Source organism: Homo sapiens, chromosome 3 (genome assembly GCF_000001405.40).
Source record: "Homo sapiens chromosome 3, GRCh38.p14 Primary Assembly".
In the NCBI taxonomy this organism is placed as follows: Eukaryota; Metazoa; Chordata; class Mammalia; order Primates; family Hominidae; genus Homo; species Homo sapiens.
Genome location: NC_000003.12, coordinates 177142307 through 177164850, shown reverse-complemented (window position 1 = coordinate 177164850; position 22544 = coordinate 177142307). Strand labels below are relative to the sequence as shown.

Sequence of the window (22544 nt, the reverse complement as noted above, 5' to 3'; positions counted from 1 at the left end):
TGTAGTTCATAATCTCTATTCAGCCCAGCTCCAGAAGATGTGAAAAATGTCATTGAAATTTTGATAGAGATTTCATTGACTCTGCAGATAACTTTGGGTAGTATGGACATTTTAACAATATTCTTTCAGTTCGTGAACATGAGACATCTTTCCATTTATTTGTATAATCTTTTTCAATTTGTTTCTTCAAAAATTTAGAAGTAGGCTGGGCGCAGTGGCTCACGCCTGTAATCCCAGCACTTTGGAAGGCCGAGGCGGGTGGATCATGAGGTTAGGAGTTTGAGACCAGCGTGGCCAAGATGGGGAAACCCCATCTCTACTGAAAATACAAAAATTAGCCAGGTATGGTGGCAGGCGCTTGTAATCCCAGCTACTCGGGAGGCTAAGGCAGGAGAATCGCTTCAACCCGGGAGATGGAGGTTGTAGTGAGCCAACATTGCGCCATTGCACTCCAGCCTGGGCGACAGGCAAGACTCCACATTTCAAAAAAAAAAAAAAAATTGAAAATAGGGAGTGATGTGTAAATTAAGCCATTCCAAGTTTTAACAATTTAGGGGCCATTTGAAGGTCTTTGCAGGAGGGAATACTCGGATAGCAAACATTGTGGTAGTTGTAAACATGAACAGTTTTTAATGTCAAGTCAGGGAGTCCTAACCAAGCCACAATAATGAATTTTACTCAGCTCTGGAACAAGAATTTTGAAATGTTATGTTAGTTGTTTTACGGTATGTTGCTGAGCGTATGCGTGTGCACGGTTGGTGTTAAGAAGGGCGTATAATCTGCTGGGCTTTCTCTATTGTTGATTGTTGCTAATAATTCTCTGGTTGAAGAAAAATATTTCCTTTTCAGGAACGTATTGGGAATATATTTGAGGTGAGTAAAGGTATATATTCTTTTTTGTGCTTGGGCAGAAGTACTGAGTTTTTACTGTTTAATTGTAATAACATAAATCTAAACTATTGATACATTTTGCGTATTTATGTGTATATCTATGTGTATAGAAAGTGATACATATGAATTGAAGCTGATTACTGCTTCAGAAAAGATTTGTTGGCTAGGTAATATATTCACGTTGTTCAAAATTCATAAGTATTCTCTCCCCTACCCCTACCCCTACCAAGTTACTTTCCTAGAGCTAACCACTGTCATCAGTTTTCTTTGTATCCTTCCAGATATTTTATATATATAAAAGTAATTAAGTGTATACTTTACACCCTCTCCCCAGTATTGTTTTAAATACAAATATTAGGGTACTAGTCACTTTGATGTGTTTTGCTGTTTTTACCTTATATATTTTACATCTTCTCACATCTACACAAAGAGCTTTCTTTTTTTTTTTTCAGACGGAGTTTTTGCTCTTGTTGCCCAGGCTGGATGGTAATGGCATGATCTTGGCTCACTGCAGCTTGCACCTCCTGGTTTCATGTGATTCTTCTGCCTCAGCCTCCTGAGTAGCTGGGATTACAGGTGCCCGCCACCATGCCTGGCTAATTTTTTTGTATTTTGAGTAGAGACGGGGTTTCCTCATGTTGGCAGGGCTGGTCTCGAACTCCTGACCTCAAGTGATCTGCCCGCCTTGGCCTCCCAAAGTGCTGGGATTACAAGCGTGAGCCACCACGCCCGGCCTCTTTTTTTTCTTTTAAATGGCTGCAAGACATTTTACTGTATTGGTACTCCATAGTTTAACCGGTCCCTTCATTGATGGATATTCAGGTTGCCTCAGTCTGTGGCTGTGGCAATGTTGAGTGAATAACCTTGGTACATAGATCATTCCCTATGCATAAAAGGATATCTGTATGATAAATAAATAATTGGAATTGCTGGGTCAAAGGATACGTGCATTTGTAAATAATTAGGGTAGTGACTGCCAGACTGACTTCACAGAGGCTGTACCGGTTTACATTCCTGCTCTCAATGTGTCTCTGCCCATGTTCTTGCCAACATAGTGTTACCAAATGTTTTGCTCTTTGATAATCTGCTAGTGAAGATATTACTTTAGTGTCTTTCTGATTTCTTTTTTATTTTGAATAAGATCGAGCATCTTTTTGTATATTTAAGTCATTTCTTCTTAGCGGACTTTTATTTTGGGCACTTCCATTTTTTATTGTGCTGTAATTTACATAAGGCAAAGTATACACTTGTAGATGTATAACTCAGTAAACTTTCTTTTAGTTGAGGTATGATTTACTTTCAATAAAATGAACAGATGTTAAGTGTACTGTTTTGATGAGTTTTAACAGCTCATGTAAAACTGACCATGTAACCCACCCCAGTCAAGATTTAGAACATTTCCATCACTCAGAAAATTTCCTCAGGCCCCATTTTGTTTTTCCTTCTCTCCATCTTAGACAATCAGTTTTCTAATTTCTGTTACCATAAATTAGTTGTGCCTATGATTTTTTAAAATTAAAACATATTATCCACCCTTGTAACTACCAACAAAATTGAGACATGGAACATTTCATGCCTTCCGGCAGGCAGGCTCCCTTGTCCATTCTTCCAGTCAGTATCTTGCCCACCAAAGGTAACCACTGTATTGACCTGTGTTCACTAGAGACTGGTCATGTAAATCTGTGCTTCATCATTTATTGTATCAAGCAGTAGTTTCTTTTTCATTGATACACACGCATAAGTGTAATACTACTATCTATTTTACTCTTTGGACAGATATGTGGCGTTTTCAACATTGCGCTATTCTGAATAAAACTGCTGTGAACATTCTAAAGCACTTAACATCTTTTTGGTGTATTAGAAATGAAATTGATAATAGGATGTAGATATATGTTTAACTTTAGAAACTGCTATAACCATTCCTCAAAGTGATTGTGCCAGTCTGCTCTTTCACTAGCAGTGTTTGTAAGTTCTAGTTGCTCTGTGTTTTTGTCAACACTTAATATTTTTAGTTCTTTTTTAGTTTCAGCTATTTGAGTGGGAGTGTGTGGTGTCTCATTGTGGTTATAATTTGAATTTCCTTGGTGACAAATGATGTTGAGAATATTTTCATGTGCTTATTGTTGATATATGATTCTTAACTGGGTGATGGGTCTTAGATTTTTTTTTTTTTTTTGAGTCAGAGTCTCACTCTGTCACCCAAGCTGGAGTTCAGTGGCATGATCTTGGCTCACTGCAACCTCTACCTCCCTGGTTCAAGCGATCCTCCTGCATCAGCCTCCCGAGTAGCTGGGATTATAGGCATCCACCATCATGCCTGGCTAATTTTTATATTTTTTTGCAGAGATGGGGTTTCACCAAGTTGGCCAGGCTGGTCTCAAACTCCTGACCTCAGGTGATCCACCCGCTTCAGCCTCCCAAAGTGCTAGGATTACAGGCGTGAGCCACCGCGCCTGGCCAATTAGTGCCTTTTATGTAGGGTTTGACATTATTAGTGCTGAGTTCAGAATCTTTTACTTGCATTTGAGTCACTGAAAAGTGTAATTAACCTAACTGGCTCATAATGTAAATAAAAATGTGAGATATGTGTGGGAAATAACCTGTTTGCTGACTGCTTGTAGAAGTCTTTTTTTCAGTCAGGGTTTTGGGGAAAAGAGAACTTAAGGGGTAGCATGTAAACTAGCTAAAAGAAACACATGGGAAAGCAAGGAGTCAAGGACTGGCACAGGGGTTATCTAAGATGATAGGCAAAACAGTCAGAGAAACAGGAAAACAAATTAGACTATAACAAATGGAAAATTATGCTGTTAAGCATTTACCAAATTTCCAAAACGGAAACACAACAAACCTAGGTGTGTTTGTGTACATTTGTGTATCTAAGATTAACTGGCTTTGTTTTAGTACTTGATATAAATTTTTTTACATTTCTAGAGAATGTTTTAGATCTTTATTTTTTTTTTTTTTGAGACAGAGTTTCACTCTGTCACCCAGGCTCGAGTGCAGTGGCGTGTTCTCGGCTCACTACAACCTCCGTCCTCTGGGCTCAAGCAGTCCTCGCATCTCAGCCTCCCAAGGAGCTGGGACCTCAGGTATGCACTACCATGCTTGGCTAACTTTTGTATTTTTAGTAGCGATGTGGTGTCACCATGTTGGCCAGGCTGGTCTCGAACTCCTGACCTCAGGTGATCCACCCTCCTCAGTCTCCCAAAGTGTGTGGATTACAGGTGTGAACCACCACGCCTGGGCTAGAATGTTTTAGCTCTTTATAAACATGTTTTATGATTTAGGACTGAGTTTCAAATAATAAAAAATAATCGAGAGCTTGAAGAAAAAGAATTCATTGGGAAGTATCCCATCAAACCCAGTGCAAGTAATATATCCTGGAATTGGAAGCAGAATGGGAACTATGGACTCAGTGAAGATTGTTCTGGACATTATTTGATTCTTCTTTCTCGCTGCCAATTGGATACTTTTTTTTTTTTTTTTGAGACAGAGTCTCGCTCTGTCGCCCAGGCTGGAGTGCAGTGGCGCAATCTTGGCTCACTGCAAGCTCAGTCTCCCGGGTTCGCGCCATTCTCCTGCCTTGGCCTCCTGAATAGCTGGGACTACAGGCGCCTGTCACCACGCCCAGCTAATTTTTTGTATTTTTAGTAGAGATGGGGTTTCATCGTGGTAGCCAGGATGGCCTAGATCTCCTGACGTCATGATGCACTACCATGACGTCCTCCCAAAGTGCTGGGATTACAGGACTGAGCCACTGCGCCCTACCAGATACTTCTACTTACATGGTTTGCAAAGCAGCTAAACAAGGCCTCCAACAGCTCTTCAATTTACTTGTTATTTGAGCTTCTTGAGAAAGTACTATTATTTTGTTCCCTCTTGCTCCATTTTCCCCACTCTTTATTGGATTAAGTAATGTGCTCAGGGTTACATGCAAATCTAGCTGTCTAGCCTTGCTCTTCACCACTACTTTATATTAAGTTAAATTAAACTATGAGGTTAAATGCATTAATGTGGTGGTATTAACGACCTTGACCTATTAATATAGCTTAAAAAATTTTTAAACAAATAGACATCCTAAATTTTACTGCAAAAACGTAGCATCCTTATGAAGATGCAAAACTAGTGTCTTGAAACTCAGGGGCCAGCATCGCTTCACTTGGAAACAGTGGCCATCATTAGTCTTTACTAAGCCCTGTGCATCAGGTGGCAGCAGGGACATTACTTATTTAGGACTTTCGTAGGAGCTGGTACTTTGTAACACTTAACGCTGATTATAATTATTTACTTGGATGACTTTTTTCTTTTCCTACCTGATTTTTGCACACTGACATATCTTTAGTGCTTCAAAGGGGTGCTATAAATTTGGTGCTTATTTTAAGAAAGAAGAGAGAATGGATATAAAAACTCATGCTGCTGAAAATGTGATGAGAATTTTGTGTCTTGGTTTTTCAAGTAGTTATTTTGATCAAGCTTGTCATTTATATGTGTATAAATTATATATATTGACTTTTCTATAGTATTTCTTTTAAATAAATCATACAGTTCTCACAACAGCATTGAATGTACTTTATTTTAAAATAGAGGGCCCTTATTTTATAAAATGTATACTCCAGTTGTGGTATAAGTGGTAATTTCCTTACCATTTTTAAGGTAATCTTTTTAGCATTAGAGAATTGATATAATTTCAAGTAGCTACTTCTTTCAGTATTGGAAGTGAGCTATTTACTTTCCTCAGCAGCAGGAGAATCAGCCTCAGCTTTTTAAACCTATGGTAGAAACTGATTTCTCTCTTTTTTTTTTTACCCATTGAGAAAATCCAGCTGAGTTCCACATAAGTAAAAACTGTCTTTACCACTGCAGGAATTAAAAATAAAAAATTCTTCTTGTTCTTTTTACATTTTAGGAGAATTAAAACTTTTAATAGGGTATCTCTACATTGAGGCTCTTTGAATGCTAATAATTTTAGAGACCATATTGTATTTATTATAGCTTAGTTTTGGAGGTGGGAAAATACGTCCATTTAGTGGCCTTAGTAGTTTAATGTGGCCCGCAGGATGGATGTTTCTCTTCTTGATTTATATTGTTTATAGAAGAATGATATCTCTTTAATATTACTTGAGGGGCTGGGGAGGTTAGGTTAATTTCTTGGGTTTATATAGCCTTAGGGCTGTTAGTAGTGTCCAATTTTCTTTAATCTAGAGGTGCTCAAACAGAATCCCTAAAGCGCCACAGATGATTTTCTAATCATATCTATATGCAGGTCTGTCAGCTTCTTAGCTCTTCCTGGTTACTGCTGCTGAAATGTCTCCTGGGAGCAACACCATAGCAACAGGATTTTCAGGGTCTAATATATAATATGAAATTTAGGAGTATACCATAGGGATGAATGGCTCTTCTGTCAGTTGTAGTCTTGTTTTAAATTCCTATATTGGCCGGACGTGGTGGTTCACGCCGGTAATCCCAGCACATTGGGAGGCCGAGGCGGGCGGATCATGAGGTCAGGAGTTCGAGACCAGCCTGGCCAACATGGTGAAACTCCGTGTCTACTAAAAATACAAAAATTAGCTGGGCATAGTGGTTCGCACCTGTAATCCCAGCTACTGGGGAGGCTGAGGCAGGAGAATGGCTTGAACCCAGGAGGGTAGAGGTTGCAGTGAGCCAAGATTGTGCCACTGCACTCCAGCCTGGGCGACTGAGCAAGACTGTCTTAAAAAAAAAAAAAAAAAAGAAAAGAAACAAATCCTATATTTACAGTGGAATTTGCAGCAGGGTTTTTTTTGTTTTTGTTTTTGTTTTACTTTTTATTTTTTAGAAATAATGTTATAAAAACTATCCAGTTCTTCATGTAGATTGTTTTATTGAAAACTACCGTGGTGGGACCTTAAGATATATGAGATAGCCTCACAGTTTTCCAACCTACCTATGAGCAAACCTATTAGCCTTGGGGGTGGGGGGAAACAACTAAAATAAAACACTTAACGAGGATAGTATTTATGATCTTCAAACAAACTTCATTGAGCTGTACTTTACATATGATAAAATGCATTCATTTGAGGTGTATTTGAATAATATACAAATGTATATACCTGTGCAACTACCACAATTTAAGACGAAGATCACGTATAAAACTGGAAAAGTTCCCTTGTTCCCAATTGCAGTTAGTCCCCTTTGGCACGCCCATCCCAGGAAACGGCTAATTTGCTTTCTAACACTGCAGGTTAGTTTTGCTTCTTGAGAAATTTCATATGAATGGAATTCCATTCCATTTTGTGGTAGGGAGAATAAAGATCCCTCTAAGACATCCATACTCTAATTCCCAGAACCTGTGGGTATTTAACCTTCCATGGCAAAGGCATTTTACACATGTGATTAAGAGCCTTGATGCAGAGAGTGATGCCAAGGTAATCCTCATTTAAACCAGCAAGGTCACTTATAACCCAGAGTGTTCTGAATTGAGTACAAATGTGCTATTTCTTTATGTTAAATTCAGAATTTTATAGTATTATATACTAAATCATGCCAGCAAGTCTAATCTCATCATACAGATCCTTAAAATCTGTAGTGAGAGGGTGATAGGACTAATGACTGCTGAAGAATGGTCAGATGCACACATTTCTTGGCTTGGAAGATGGAGGACGAGGCCCTGAGCCAAGGGAATGCTGGTGCCTCCAGAGTCTAGAAAAGTCAAAAGAAACTAATCTGCTTTAGGAGCCTCCGGAGAGGAAATTTTTTTTTCTTTTTGTTTTTTGAGATAGAGTCTCATTCTGCTACTTAGGCTGGAGTACAGTGACACAATCACAGCTCACTCCAGCTTTGACCTCATGGGCTCAAGCAGTCCTCTTACCTCAGCCTCCCAAAGTGGGATTACAGGTGTGAGACACTGTGCCTGGCCCAGAGAGGAATGATTACACCTGTTTACACCTTCATTTTAGCCCAGTGAGACCTGTGTCAGACTTGTAACTTACAGAACTACAAATTAACAAATTTGTGTTGTTTTAAGCTACTACGTTTGTGGTAATTCATCATCTAGCAAGAGTAGAAAGTGATACATACACTGTGTATTTTGTGCTTGACTTGTCCCTCCTTGAATTGTCATTTTGTTGTGCGGATGTAGCACAATTTTTTGTCCATTCCCAGTTGATGGATATTTGTGTTGCTTCCAGCTTTGAGCTATATTCTAGTGTATAGTAGTATATAGAAACTAGTATCTCCTTGTGTTTTAGTTTTTACTTCTGAGGACATTCATACATCTTTTTGTGAACTGTTCAAATATTTTGCTCCTTTGAAAATTTGGGTCATATGTCCTCATGTAATTGTTGTGGCATTCTTTTTTATATTCCAGACACAAGTGTTTTGTCAGAATTTTATATATATATATATAAATGTATGTGTGTGTATATATATATAAGTGTGTGTGTGTGTGTGTGTGTGTGTGTGTATGTATATATATAATTTTTTTTTTTTGAGATGGAGTCTCACTCTGTCCCTAGGCTGCAATGGCGTGTTCTTGGCTCACTGCAACCTCTGCCTCCTGGGTTCAAGGGATTCTCCTGCCTCAGCCTCCCGAGTAGCTGGGATTACAGGCGCCCGCCACCACACCTGGATAATTTTTGTGTTTTCAGTAGAGACGGGGGTTTTGCCATGTTGGCCAGGCTGGTCTCAAACTCCTGATGTCAGATCCGCCCTTCTTGGCCTCCCAAAGTGCTTAGATTACAGGCGTGAGCCACCATGCCTGGCCTATATGTCTTGATTTTTCATTCCTTTCGTGCCTTTTTTTTTTTTTTTTTTTTTGGTAGAGTAGAAGTTTCACGTTTTCATGAATTCTAGGTTTTTTTTTTTTAATGGTTTCTGTTTTTTTTTGTTCTAAGAAAGTTTATCCTGTATTTCTATTTAGAAGTTTTAGAGTGTTAGCTTTTAGATTAAAAAATGGTTTACTTTTTTTATTTTGAGATGGAGTTTCACTCTTGTTGCCCAGGCTGGAGTGCAATGGTGCAGTCTCGGCTCACCACAACCTTCACCTCTCGGGTTCAAGTGATTCCTGTGCCTCAGCCTCCCGAGTAGCTGGGATTACAGGCATGTGCCACCACGCCTGGCTAATTCTGTAATTTTAGTAGAGATGGGGTTTCTCCATGTTGGTCAGGCTGGTCTCGAACTCCTGACCTCAGGGGATCCGCCCTCTTCCCGGAGTGCACGGATTACAGGCATGAGCCACTGCAGCCGACCAAAACTGATATAATTTTTGTGTATGGTATGAGGTAAAAGTTGAAGTTCATTTTTTTTTCTATGTGACTATTCAGTTGTTTTCGTACCATTTCTTGGAAAAAAGAAAAAAACTATCTTTCTCCTTTTGAAAGTCCTTAGTATCCTTTAAGATCAGCTTTCCTTATGTATTCACATTATTTATAGACAATGACTATTTATTTATTCTTTTAAATTCATACACCTTTTGTTTCCCAAATTAAATTTCTTTCATAGATACAGAACAACATAGATCAAAAAAATCTTGAGTCATTTTTGGTAACTCATGTCTTTCAAAGGAGTTTTATTTCTTAAAGAAATTATTAGCTTAATATTCTTTCAATTAATGTGGAGTCTGTGGCTATGTTTTTTTATTTTTCATAATTCACAATACAAATCTTGATCAGTTTAGTGAGAGGTATCAGTTTTATTGATTTGTTCAAAAGACAGTTTAGTTTCACTGCTTTTTCAGTGTTGTGTGTCTGTTTTCTGTTGCATTGATATTAGCGCTTTCTTTGTTTAATTTGCCCTTTTTCTAGCTTCTTAAACTTAGATCAGTGATCTCAAATTCGTTTTGTTTGTGAAATAGTGCCCTTAAGGTGTTGCTTTAGCTGCATTTTACTATTTTTGGTACGCTCTTCTCTTTTCATATACTTCAGAATGATTTTTAATTTTCATTGTGATTTCTTCTTTGAGCCTTTGTTTACTTTAGGAATATGTTTATCTGATTTCAAATATTTGGTAACTTTGTATGGGACTTTTCTTTGTAGCCAGAGAAAATACTCTGTGATTTAAATCTTTTAGATTTGCATCTGTTTTGTTCTCTGTGTGTGATCTCTTTTGTTAATGTTTTATTTGCACTTCAGTATTTTGTATTATTTTTATCGGATGTTTTCTGTAAATACGAGTCCAGTTTGTCAAGTGTTTAGATCTTCTGTGTTATTAATTTTTAGTTTTATTATTTACAGAGAGAAGGGTGTTAATCTCCAACTCTAAATATGATTTCTTTTTAAAAAGTTCTGTCGGCCGGGCGCGGTGGCTCATGCCTGTAATCTTAGCACTCCGGGAGGCTGAGGCGGGCAGATCATGAAGTTAGTAGTTTGAGACCAGCCTGGCCAACATGGCGAAACCCCGTTTCTACTAAAAAAACAAAAATTAGCTGGGCATGGTGGTGGGCGTCTGTAATCCCAGCTACTCGGGAAGCTGAGGCTGGAGAATCTCTTGAACCTGGGAGGTACAAGTTGCAGTGAGCTGAGATTGTACCATTGTACTCCAGTCTGGGCAACAAGAGCAAAACTCCTTCTTAAAAAAAAAAAAGTTTGTCAATTTCTAGATTACAGATTTCCAAATTAAGGTGTTAGGTACACACATTTAGAATTTTTATGTTATCTTGATGGATTAACCACTTTATCATTAAGAAATGTTCCTCTTAGTCCTTGCTCTAGAGTACCTTGTTTGATATTAATGTATTAATAATCAGATTATACTTAGAGCTTCCTTATGCTTAATTTTGTCATGAGATATATTTTCCATTTTTTATTTATCATCTGTTTTCATAGTTAACATGGGATTCTTTTAAACAGGATATAGTTGGATTTTTGTTTGTTTTTAAATTCAGGCTGATAATGGGATTTAGATAATTTGCATTTAACATAATTATTAATGTGGTTGAATTTATACCATATTTGTTTTTTGTCTTATCTGTTCTTTTTTTTTCTTGGCGCCTTGATTTAGTAATTATTAGCACTCTATATTATTTCTACTATTGTCTTATTAGCCATACCTCTTTAGTGGCTACCCTGCAGTTCACTTGTTCCATACTTTTTTTTTTTTTTTTTTTTGAGATGGAGTTTTGCTCTTGTTGCCCAGGCTGGAGTGCAGTGGCGCGATCTTGGCTCACTGCAACCTCCGCCTCCCGGGTTCAAGTGATTCTCCTGCCTCAACCTCCTGAGTAGCTGGGATTACAGGCGCGTGCCACCACGCCCAGCTAATTTTTTTAGTAGGGGTTTCATCATGTCTGCCAGGCTGGTCTCAAACTCCTGACGTCAGGTGATTCACCCGCCCCGGCCTCCCAAAGTGCTGGGATTACGGTCGTGAGCCACCGCGCCTGGCCTTTATTGCATACTTTTTACAGTCTATGTTCAAGTAAAATTATTGCATTTCACATATAGTGTTAGATTTTTTATAATAGCATACATCTATTTCTCCCTTTTATGTACTATTTTTGCTGTGCATTTTATATGCTGTAAACACTGGATATTATTTTTACTTTAAACAGTTAATTACTCATTTAGAGGAACTTTTGAAATGAAAAGTCTTATATGTGCATGCGTATTTACTAGTTTGGGCACTCCACATGCCTTTGGGAAGATCGAGGTTTTCCACTTGTATCTGCTGTTTTCTTTCTGCTGAATAACTTCCTTTAACACTTCTTCTAGTCAGGTCTCTTGGTGAGAAATTCTATCTACTTTTAGTTTGGTAGAGTCTTTGTTTCCCCCTTCATTTTCAAGGATATATTCACTGAGTATAGAATTATGTGTTAATCTTTTTACTTCAACACTTTATTTTATTTTATTTTATTTTTGAGACACTATTTCACTCTGTTGCCCAGGCTAGAGTGCAGTGGTGCAATTTTGGCTCACTGCAACCTCCACTTCCCGGGCGATTCTCGTGCCTCAGCCTTCCCAGTAGCTGGGATTACAGGTGCACGCCACCACGCCCAGCTAGTTTTTTTATTTTTAGTAGAGATGGAGTCTCACCATGTTCGTCAGGCTGTTCTCCAACTCCTGACCTCAAGTGATCCACAAACAGTGTGGTTCTGTTGGGTAGCACCAGCTTAATAGGAATGTGAGCCAGAATTGCGAAGATCTAAGCAGGCTTTTAGGAAAGGTGTGTGGAAAATGGAAAAAGAGCAAAGGGAGATAGAAGCAATAATAAGGTAATTAGGGATAATCAAGAACAAAGTAAATGGGCTATCAAATTCTGAGATGGCTCTAAGAATGATGGTTAGAGAAATCTATATAGAAAATAATATATAGAGATATATAGAACCTAGGACCAACATGACTTGAATAGTGAGGAAATACAGATGACAGCTTTCTGCAAAAAGCTAAGAAAAAGGGTAGGGCGGCCGGGCACCATGGCTCACGCTCACGCCTGTAATCCCAGCATTTTGGGAGGCCGAGGCGGGCAGATCACGAGGTCAGCAGTTCAAGACAAGCCTGGCCAAAATGGCGAAACCCCATCTCTACTAAAAATACAAAAATTAGCCGGGCGTGGTGGTGGGTGCCTGTAATCCCAGTTTAAACCCAGGAGGCGGACGTTGCAGTGAGCTGAGATCGCGCCATTGCACTCCAGCCTGGGCAACAATAGGAAGACTGTTGAAAAAAAAGGTGGGCCTTGAATTAGTCAAGTACTTGGCTCTGGGGAAATTAATGAGAAGATAGATCTGGGAGTGAAAAGTAAAAAGCATAATCTAAAGTGAATGTAGCAACTTAAAAGGTTCCGTGGACTGAAAAAGAAGGGTGACAGCTGGGAGCATCTTTGGAAGAAGTTTTCAACATAGCCAGGCTGAATAATCTAAACTTCTAATTTGCTATAATCATAGTTAATTTATTTCTCATTCACTCATACTGTTACCCATTTGAATCAACTTGGAACAAATTGTATTCAGTAGTAGTATTTAGGACAAAAGAGTACAGTTTCTTGCTCTTGTGCCCCAGGCTGGAGTGCGATGGCGCTATCTTGGCTCACTGCAACTTCCACCTCCCAGGTTCAAGTGATTCTCCTGCCTCAGCCTCCTGAGTAGCTGGGATTACGGGTGCCTGCCACCACGCCCGGCTGATTTTTGTATTTTTAGTAGAGACAGGGTTTCACCGTGGTGGCCAGGTTGGTCTCAAACTTCTGAACTCAGGTGATCTGCTGCCTTGGGCTGGGATTACAGGTGTGAGCCACCGTGCCCGTCTGGGAAAATTCTTTTTATCCTTGGGTGATGAAAAATTAGTCTGATATTTCACAGTGGCTGAGACAGAGCATATGCCTCAGGTGTTCTGGAGGACAGCTGATTTCACACTCAGCCTGTTTTTCATTTTATTGTGTAAACCAGTGGTCCCCAACCTTTTTGGCACCAGGGACCAGTTTTATGGAAGACAGTTTTTCCACGGACAGAGGGTAGGCGGGTGGTTTCATCAGGCATTAGTTAGATTCTCATAAGGAGCGTACAGTCTAAGTCCCTCAAATGTGCAGTTCACAATAGGGTTCACGCTCCTGTGAGAATCTAATGCTGTAGCTGATCTGATAGGAGATGGAACTCAGGTGGTAATGCTGGCCCCACTGCCGTGGACTGGTGCCCACAGCTGCAGCCGGGGGTTGGGGACCCCCATCATCAACTAAGAAAATCAAATGCAACTGTTTTTAATACTGCTTTTGATACACACTGGTAATGTTAAGCTATACTGAAACATAAATACTTGAAAAATACTTCATCAGGAGAGGTGGTTCAATGTGAAAAATGTGTGGCTCTCAGTCACAGATTTGGCTTTCTTCCCAGCTTTGCTTTTATATACCACTGTGGCCCTTCACAAGTGACTCAACTTTCTCTTCACCACAGCGGTGCTATCTATAAAATAAAGGAGTTGAACAGCATGTTTAAAGTGTCTGATTCTGTGATTCTATGTGTTTTTATTATTACTGGCTTTTCTGAGCTACCTCAGAAACAAGTATATTATGTATAGTTATAACCTTATTTGTAAGAAAGAATGTTTTAAGTTTTGAACAACTCACCTTCCAATACAGTGAGGTCCGATCTCAGATTCTCACATGTTCCAGTTTGTGTCTTACTTTTTAAATGAAGGTAAAATAAAAAGCTTTGTGACTGTTTCTCCTTATTAATACCTCACTCTATTACCTTCCAGGCTTACCTTAACTGGAATTATGTCAGCGTCCTTAGATAATTACTTTCTGTTAGAGCCTGCTCAGCTGCATGGCACCTAAACAGAGGCCTACACAGGACATATTTTTCCACACACAAGGTCATTTTGGGAGTTGAGGTTAGTCAGGTAGAGCTGGGAATACTACCAAGAAATGGTAAGAAACATTCTACAACATCAAACTATGTGACATGGAAAAACAGTACCTGAATCTGAGGACTTCAAAGAGACATCGTATTTTGTTTTGTTTTCCTAGGTAACTCAGTCTGTAGTTGCTGAAAGAGGAGGAAAGGATTAGACACTGGTCAGTTTTCAGTTTTAGTGACCTGATAGCTTTTGGTCTCTGGATTTGGCATGCATGAAGGCATCCATCCTGCTTGGAGCATTTCATAGTAGCTGCACATTCCTGTTGTCTGGCTTATTTTGCCGAGTTTTAAGGAATTGAGGACTCTGTACTCTGTTCAAATATCAACTTCTTTGACACCACACTGTTTGCTCCTCTGTTGTATTCTTGAATACCATTCCATATGTCTCTCTAAGGCCAGTTTGTTAATTTAAAAAAATCTTCCTTACTACCGGGCTTTTCAGTTTCTGGGGAAGACAATTAAGAAGGTGCATTTGGCTCTTGGTTGACAACATCTTGATTGTTCTGAAAACAACCCTTTTTGACACTAAATTCTAGTTTGATACTCTTGTTTGGAATCAGATAAGAGAAAAAACGGGACTTTGTGGTTTAAATATTGAATAAATTGTATAGTATGCTACATATGGCATGTTCTCAAAGTAGATAATCTGGGATAACAAATATATTAATACCCACTTTAAGATTTATTTAAATTGACGTTTCCTTAGTTATATTAGAATAATTTTAGAGCAGAGGTCAGCACACTGTTTATGTAAAGGATTAAGGGTTAGATAATAAATATTTTAGGCATGTACTGAAGTCTGCTGTTAGGAAGCAGCCATGGATAGTATGTAAATGAATAAGCACGGCTGTGTTCCAGTAATGTTTTATTTATGATACATTGAAGTTTGTATGATTTTCACAGTCGCGTTGTGTCCCCCTCCGGCCCCCCCAACCATTTAGAAATGTAAAAATTATTCTTAGCTTATGGGCCATACGAAAGCAGGTAGGATTTGGCCCACGGGCTGTCATTTGTCAACTCCTGTTTCAGAGCAATGGTGATGAGTTTTGTTTCAGTTGCTTGCTTGTACTATTGAAGTGATTAATTGTAGAATTAGTATAATACAAAATTAGTTAAAAAGCTTTAAAATCTAGGTGGCCTATTAGTAAATTAGCCATTTTAAACCCCAGTTTTCTTATATGTAAAATGAGAATAAGTATTATAAAATATATTCTTCATTATAAGCAACAGAACTTACCCTGGCTTCTGTAATTAGAGTAGGGAATATTGAATATTAGGTGGTTCACAGAGTCATTGGGGGAGTGCTAGAGATATAGATTTAAGTCCAAGCTTCTGGGAACATTGCCTGAAACCATGCTGCAGAACTAGATTTGAGAAAGCCAGGGATACTGAACACTAAATACTAGACACTCAGTTTGATTGCAGATGCTACTGTTGTTGCCTCTGGTGCTGTTCCATTGACAGGTACTCCGCATTGCAATCACCGGGAAATGGCTAGCATTGGCTGTTGCCATCATCAAAAGCCAAATATGTCTGCCGTCTTGGGACTGAGCAAGAAATGGAAGCTCTGCTCATTGCTTACTTCTAAAGCAAAGCAAAGTCTCCTGGAGTTTTTTCTTTTCTTTTCTTTTCTTTTTTTTTGAGGGAGTTTTGCTCTTCTTTGTCCAGGCTGGAGTGCAATGGCGTGATCTCGGCTCACCACAACCTCTGCCTCCTGGGTTCAAGTCATTCTCCTGCCTTAGCCTCCCGAGTAGCTGGGATCACAGGCACGCACCACCACAACCAGCTAATTTTGCATTTTTAGTAGAGGCAGGGTTTCTCCATGTTTGCCAGGCTGGTCTCAAACTCCTGACCTCAGGTGATCCACCCGGCCTCCCAAAGTGCAGGGATTACAGGCGTGAGCCATCGCACCCAGCCAATTTTTATTATTTTTATTTTTTTCTCGAGTCTTATTCTGTTGCTCAGGCTGGAGTGTGATCTCGGCTCACTGCAATCTCCCCCTCCTGGGTTCAAGTGATTCTCCTGCCTCAGCCTCCTGAGTAGGTTCAATTACAGGCATGCGGCACCATGCTCGGCTAATTTTTTGTATTTTTAGTAGAGATGGGGTTTCACCATATTGGTCAGGCTGGTCTCGAACTCCTGACCTCGTTATCCACCCACCTCAGCCTCCCAAAGTGCTGGCATTACAGGCGTGAGCCACTGTGCCTGAGAGGTTTATTTTTGAGATCAAAGAGTATGCCATGTCTTTAGCCATAAGAGAAGCTGGGAATTTTAAATTCTAATTTCTAGTTTAGATAGTAAGTAGATTTCAGAACGTGGAAATATCCACAAATTAAAAAGTCTTTTCAAACTTGATAGATGTCCACAACAGTAAATACTTAACTGTCCCCTATCAGCATGTATACCTCCTTTTGTACTTAAACTTTCAACATCCTTAACTAGCTGTCATCTAAAAAATCTACAATTTATAAAAAGTTTGTGTTATATTCTAAATTGGTGAGTTGGTTATTTAGATCCTAAAATTGATTCTTCATTCAGAACAAAAAAATTATAAAATAACGGACTTGTTTCCATGGTAGCCAGAATAAGTAAGGTTGTTGACAAAAGCTAAGTGTCTGTTTCACAGAGATAACTTTCTTAATGGTGGAAAGATTCTGGGTGTTACCATATTGCTACCAGGTAGCTCTGTGTCCCCTGTGAAATGTGGTACTGTTTGGTGTGGAGGTGAGAGGAACTCAAGAGTTAATTGTTGCTTATAGTAGATCACATTATTCAAAAACAGTTGCTTCCCTTCTTTACTGGCTTCTCCCTACAGGACCTCCTATTTGTGGGAGGAGTACTTCCTTGTTCCTGTGGACATCAGGAATGGCCATGGAACTTGATTTGGCCACTGGAAGATGAGTAGAAGTGATTATTTGTCATGTCTAAGCTGAAGCCTTATTAGGAGCCATTGCATGAATGATTTTTGCTAATTTTCCTCAGCCCCAAGAAAAATGGGCCAGATAAAGACTATTTCTTTTGCTAGATTCCAGAATGAAGAAGATGCCTGTAGCCAACCTGTAGCTGACAACAAAAATGAGAAATACATTTTGCGCTGTCTGTTGAACCCAAGACCCTTTCAGAGTAAAACTAATTTAATAATCATAAGTACTTTCTTTCACTGTGTTGACATTTGCACTTTGGCTCAAAAGTGATGTTTTGGAAAACTTGCTGGTTAGGAAAAAATCAGTGCAGTTTCTTCAAACTATGTTCTGCAGCACCATCACCACATATTTATAGTAAACGAAGTTTTACTTGGTCGGGCATCGTGGCTCATCCCTGTAATCCCAGCACTTTGAGAGGCTGAGGCAGGAGAATTGCTTGAGCACAGGAGTTTGAGACCAGCCTGGGCAACATAGGGAGACCTCGTCTCTATAAAAAAACCAAAAATGTTAGCTGGGCATGGTGATGCGTGCCTGTAGTCCCAGCTACTTAGGAGGCTGAGCTGTGGTGATCCCTTGAGTCCAGGAGGTTGAGGCTGCAGTGAGCCAAAATCACGCCATTGCACTCCAGGCTGGGTGATAGAGTAAGACTACATCTCTTAAAAAAAAAAAAAAAGTCTTAGGAATCTCCTTGATGAAGCAGTAAAAAGTATTAATCTAAAAAAATCATGATCTGAATCTGAATCATTTTAATGGTCTTTGTGATGAAATGGGAAATGTTCATAAAATACTTGTGAATGCAAAAGTATGATGGTTTCAGAGGGAAAACTCTTGGGCATTATTTGAGTTATGAGCAGAACCAGCCTTCTTTAATTTTCGCTTGAAACAGTGACTCACTATGGTGATTCTGACATGAGCATTTTAGAGATATTTTCTCAAACAAAGTGAGCTTTTACTTTAAGGAAAACAACGGACGGTATTTGTTGCCAGTGATAAAATCTGAGATTTCACGTGATAGTTTGGGTTTTGGAAAATTATTAGATACTGTGAGCTTGATAGCTTCCTGTTATTTAGAATTTTTCTGATGATCTTGGTAAAAGTAGTAGTGAATACAACTTTTTTTTTTTTTTTTTTGAGATGGAGTCTCGCTCAGCTGCCCAGGCTGGAGTGCAGTGGCGTGATCTTGGCTTACCACAACCTCCGCCTCCTGGGTTCGAGACCAGCCTGGCCAACATGGTGAAACCCCCATCTCTACTAAAAATACAAAAAATTACCTGGGCATGGTGACGGATGCCTGTAGTCCCAGCTACTCGGGAGCCTGAGGCAGGAGAATCACTTGAACCCGGGAGGCAAAGGTTGCAGTGAGCCGAGATCACGCCATTGCACTCCAGCGTGGGCAACAAGAGCAAAACTCCCATCTCAAAACAAACAAAGCATATCATATGAAAGCCAGAAAACTGACTTAACCTGAGGCAGTATAGTGAAGATGTACTGCTGTACAAGCCAAATGAAAGCAAATTGCTTCTGAAATTCTGTTTGTAGAGATAGAGAAACCTTTGCCAGAATGATAGCTGCATATCAGGTACTGAACTAAGCAGATCACATATGAATACCAGCTCTTCCTTGTAGTCATTAAGATTAAAACACAGTCATCCTCTAAAAATATTTGTTTTCTGTATTAGCCAGACAGTTGTATTAAGTAGGTACCTGCTAGGAATTGCAATCCTTGCATCTTTCAGTTCTTTGACAATTCTTTCAGGAATGCAAATTACTTTTGTTTGGAGGGAGAGCTCCTGGGATCTCCATCAGACTTCCTGATAAAAACTACCCTGCAACTCCACCTGTCATGGCATCAGTATGGGAATTTTGTCTGTTGGAAAACTAAGACTGCCCTTTGCAACTATATGTTCAACACCTGGAGAAGATAACCAATAAATTGGGAGGGTTAATCTACTCTGATAAATGGACTTTTGACCAAAACTTTATTATTTGACCACTGTCATTCCTCTTTCTGACAAATGTGCCACATTGGTGCTATCTGGGTCTTTTAGAGATTTAAGAGTTAGCTTTTATAGTCCCAGAAAGGTCTGGGTGTTTCACTTTTCAAGTACATGGTTACCTTAGTAAGGGGCTGTTGATCTTTGTGGAAAGCCAAGAGGGAAATCACAGTACTTGTGATGTAATTATAGAGCTTTGTCTAAAGGATACCTTGCCTTACTGCCTTTATTCTAGAGGGTCTGCGAACTTTGAGAGGCTGTTATTTTTCTATCTTGGTGGCTTATGTCCCCCTTGTCAGGTCTCTGTATTCCATACATATTTGTTTACCCAGGTTAGGAGTTAGCAGACTTTTTCTATAGGGAGCCAGATATACAGTCACTGAAAAAAACAATGCAGTGCTGCCATTGTAGTGCTAAAGCAGCCATAAATAGTACATAAATGAGCTTTTCTGTTCAATTAAAACTTTATTTACTAAAACACAGTGGGTCAGATTTGCCTCCGGTTGTAGTTTTCATACCTCTGGTGTAGATCACATAGGATTATAGTGGAATGTCTTTATGTTACGGTTTTAGGGACTTTCCAAGGTTCCTGCAGACAAACCAGTTTGATAACCACTAGGTTCCTGTTCGTTAAGCTTGCCTGGTACCACTTGAAGTTATAATTAAACAGTCAACAAAATCAGCCTGTGCATTTGAGTTTTGGTTTTAAAGCTTTAGAGCAGGGGTTGGCAAACTGCAGTCTGCAGGCCAAATGTGGCCAGCCTGTTTTTTTGTGATCCACAAGTTAAAAATGTTTTCCATAATTTAAAATAATTGAATAAAGAAGATCAAAAAAGAATGATATTATTTTGTGACAAGTTAAAAATTACATGAAATTCAAATTTTCATGTGTAAAGTTTTATTGAAATACAGCCACATTGATTAATTTATGTGTAGGTTATGGCTGCTTTCTTTTTCTTTTTTTCTTTTTTTTTGGGACGGAGTCTCCCTCTGTCGCCCAGGCTGGAGTGCAGTGGTGCAATCTCGGCGCACTGCAAGCTCCGCCTCCTGGGTTCACGCCATTCTCCTGCCTCAGCCTCTGAGTAGCTGGAACTACAGGCACCCGCTACCACACCCAGCCAATTTTTTTTTTTCTAAAGTAGAGATGGGGTTTCACTGTGCTAGCCAGGATGGTCTCGATCTCCTGACCTCATGATCCACCCGCCTTGGCCTCCCAAAGTGCTGGGATTACAGGCGTGAGCCACCGCGCCCGGCCAGGTTATGGCTGCTTTCACTTCACAACTACACAGTTGAGTAGTTGCAACAGAGACCTTTGGCCTTGGAAGAATTACTATCTGGCCCTTTACAGAAAAACGTTTTCTAACCTTGGCTTAAGATGGAGAACGATTCTTTAATGTTGTACTTAGTAACTGCCTCTTTCTTTGTCAGTGCCATGAGTCAAAAATTTATGCTGTGAATATGTCACTTTGTGTTTTTTTTTGAGACGGAGTTTTGCTCTTGTTTCCCAGGCTGGAGTGCAGTGGTGTGATCTCAGCTCACTCCAACCTCCGCCTCCCGGGGTTCAAGCGATTTTCGTGCCCCAGCCTCCTGAGTAGCTGGGATTACAGGCATATAGCACCATGCCCAGCTAATTTTGTATTTTTAGTAGAGACGGGGTTTCTCCATGTTGGTCAGGCTGGTCTTAAACTCCCTACCTCAGGTGATCCGCCTGCCTCCCAAAGTGCTGGGATTACAGGCATGAGCCACCATGCCCGGCCTGAATATGTCACTTTCTTAACTCCAACACTGTTAGAAGCAGTCATCCCCACTCCACTGTCCTCGTATATCTGTGGCATGACCTTCATAGATTTCTACCAGTCTCACTTGTTCCCCAAAGCGTTGTTTTCTTTAGTCACTTCATTGCAGATGACCACAGTTGATAATTTAATTCTGTTAGAGCCTGAATGAACTATCAGAGACCCATCTTATATAATTAGCTGTACCCTCACTGAATTGAAACCTAAACAATTGGATAATATTCTCAGATTCCCATCACCTTGAAAGTTTGCTCATTTACCTACTTCACATGGTAGTTACAATAATTTAATGAGATAAATATAATCTAGTATTTTACTGAATTTTCACTTGCACAGGCACTGAGCCAGGTGCTTTTCACACATAACAAAAAGTTTAATTTCAAAGGTTAGCTGATAAATATTTTAAATTTAGGAATAAATATCCCCCTGCCCCATCATCACTTCACGTACTGTAAAAAACTTACAGCATTTACAAGTTTTAAAATCACATTAAAGTGGTTGACATAAATTAATATCTTTGCCTATAATATTCCTTCCCTTTTTTTTTTGACTTGTAGATACAGTTGATTTTTGTCATTCACTGTAGTTATGTTCTTTATAGTTGCCTTGAACACTGACTTAGCAAATACTGAGCATCGCTCCTACGGGAATATGCAGGGTTAGGTTCCTGTAGGCCTCGGTCATAACATTTTTGTCAGCTGATCAATAGTAACTGTGTGTTTCTGTTTAAAGATAACTTCCTAATATATATTGTTGATTGATTAATATTGCATTTAGAGTCAACAGCACTAAAACTCATATGAACAAAGCTTATTTCCCACACATATTTTCTCTGCAGCCTTTTTGTACTTAGCAATACTAGATAGCCCTAAGCATAGTGATCAAGTGCTATTTTAAATAGTGAAATGACCAACAGAAAGCACAAACATGCAAAAACGTGGCACTAAATAGACCACCCAAAGGACATTTGTTTGCCATATGATGGCTGAAACAAGGCAGAATGCTGTCTTTTTTTTGTCTTCAGGTGGGTAAGTGTACAATGGGCACCTCAAATTTTTCATCATTTTGTGCATGTCCACATATGATTGCAAAAGTGCTGCAAGTATTAATTTTGGTGCAAGCAGGCAAATTCATAAATGTGAAATCCATGAATTGGTGAGGATTGACTGTATTTCCCTTGATGCCACTAATTTATTATTGTAAATTTATTATTTTAAATTTTTATTTCACTTGCTTCTTAAATTTACTTATTTTAATCGTAAATAGACATAAAAATTTACTATATTAACTGTTAAAAAATGTATAGTTCAATAGTGTTAAGTAAATTCCTACTGAGGTAGGAGACGGGACTTGACTCCAGAGTTGGGGCTTGGACTTTGCACCAGGTGAAGACTAGCTGAAGCAGGGAAGAGATGAAAACACTTCTCCATAAAGACATGCCCACCAGTGTCATGTTAGTTTATCATTGCCATGGCAACACCTGAAAGTTTCTGTCCCTTTCCGTGACAACAACCTAGACGTTACCCCACTTCTAGAAATTTCTGCAGAACCTGTTCCTTAGTTTGCGTGTAATTAAGAGTAGGTGTAATTAAGAGTAGGTATAAATGTGACTACAGAACTGCTC

The 22544-nt window shown here is 39.3% G+C and overlaps 1 protein-coding gene across 14 annotated transcripts in view, besides 3 other annotated features; it reads left to right on the top strand.

Annotated features, from left to right (window-relative positions):
• The window catches only part of TBL1XR1 (TBL1X/Y related 1), a 182457-nt gene that overhangs the window by 36950 nt on the left and 122963 nt on the right, over positions 1-22544 (top strand). The window lies entirely within an intron of this gene.
• Positions 11826-12326: an enhancer, noted in NCBI's record as "H3K4me1 hESC enhancer chr3:176870313-176870813 (GRCh37/hg19 assembly coordinates)". NCBI's record gives its function as "activates a minimal SCP1, AML or CMV promoter by ChIP-STARR-seq in naive H9 embryonic stem cells {active_cell/tissue: H9 hESC(naive)}" and the evidence as "EXISTENCE:reporter gene assay evidence [ECO:0000049][PMID:30033119]".
• Positions 13457-13506: an enhancer, noted in NCBI's record as "active region_20837". NCBI's record gives its function as "activates an Ori minimal core promoter by ATAC-STARR-seq in GM12878 lymphoblastoid cells {active_cell/tissue: GM12878}" and the evidence as "EXISTENCE:reporter gene assay evidence [ECO:0000049][PMID:35858748]".
• Positions 20016-20310: a silencer, noted in NCBI's record as "tiled region #13561; K562 Repressive DNase matched - State 14:Gen5'". NCBI's record gives its function as "represses a minimal TATA promoter and a strong SV40 promoter by Sharpr-MPRA in K562 cells {active_cell/tissue: K562}" and the evidence as "EXISTENCE:reporter gene assay evidence [ECO:0000049][PMID:27701403]".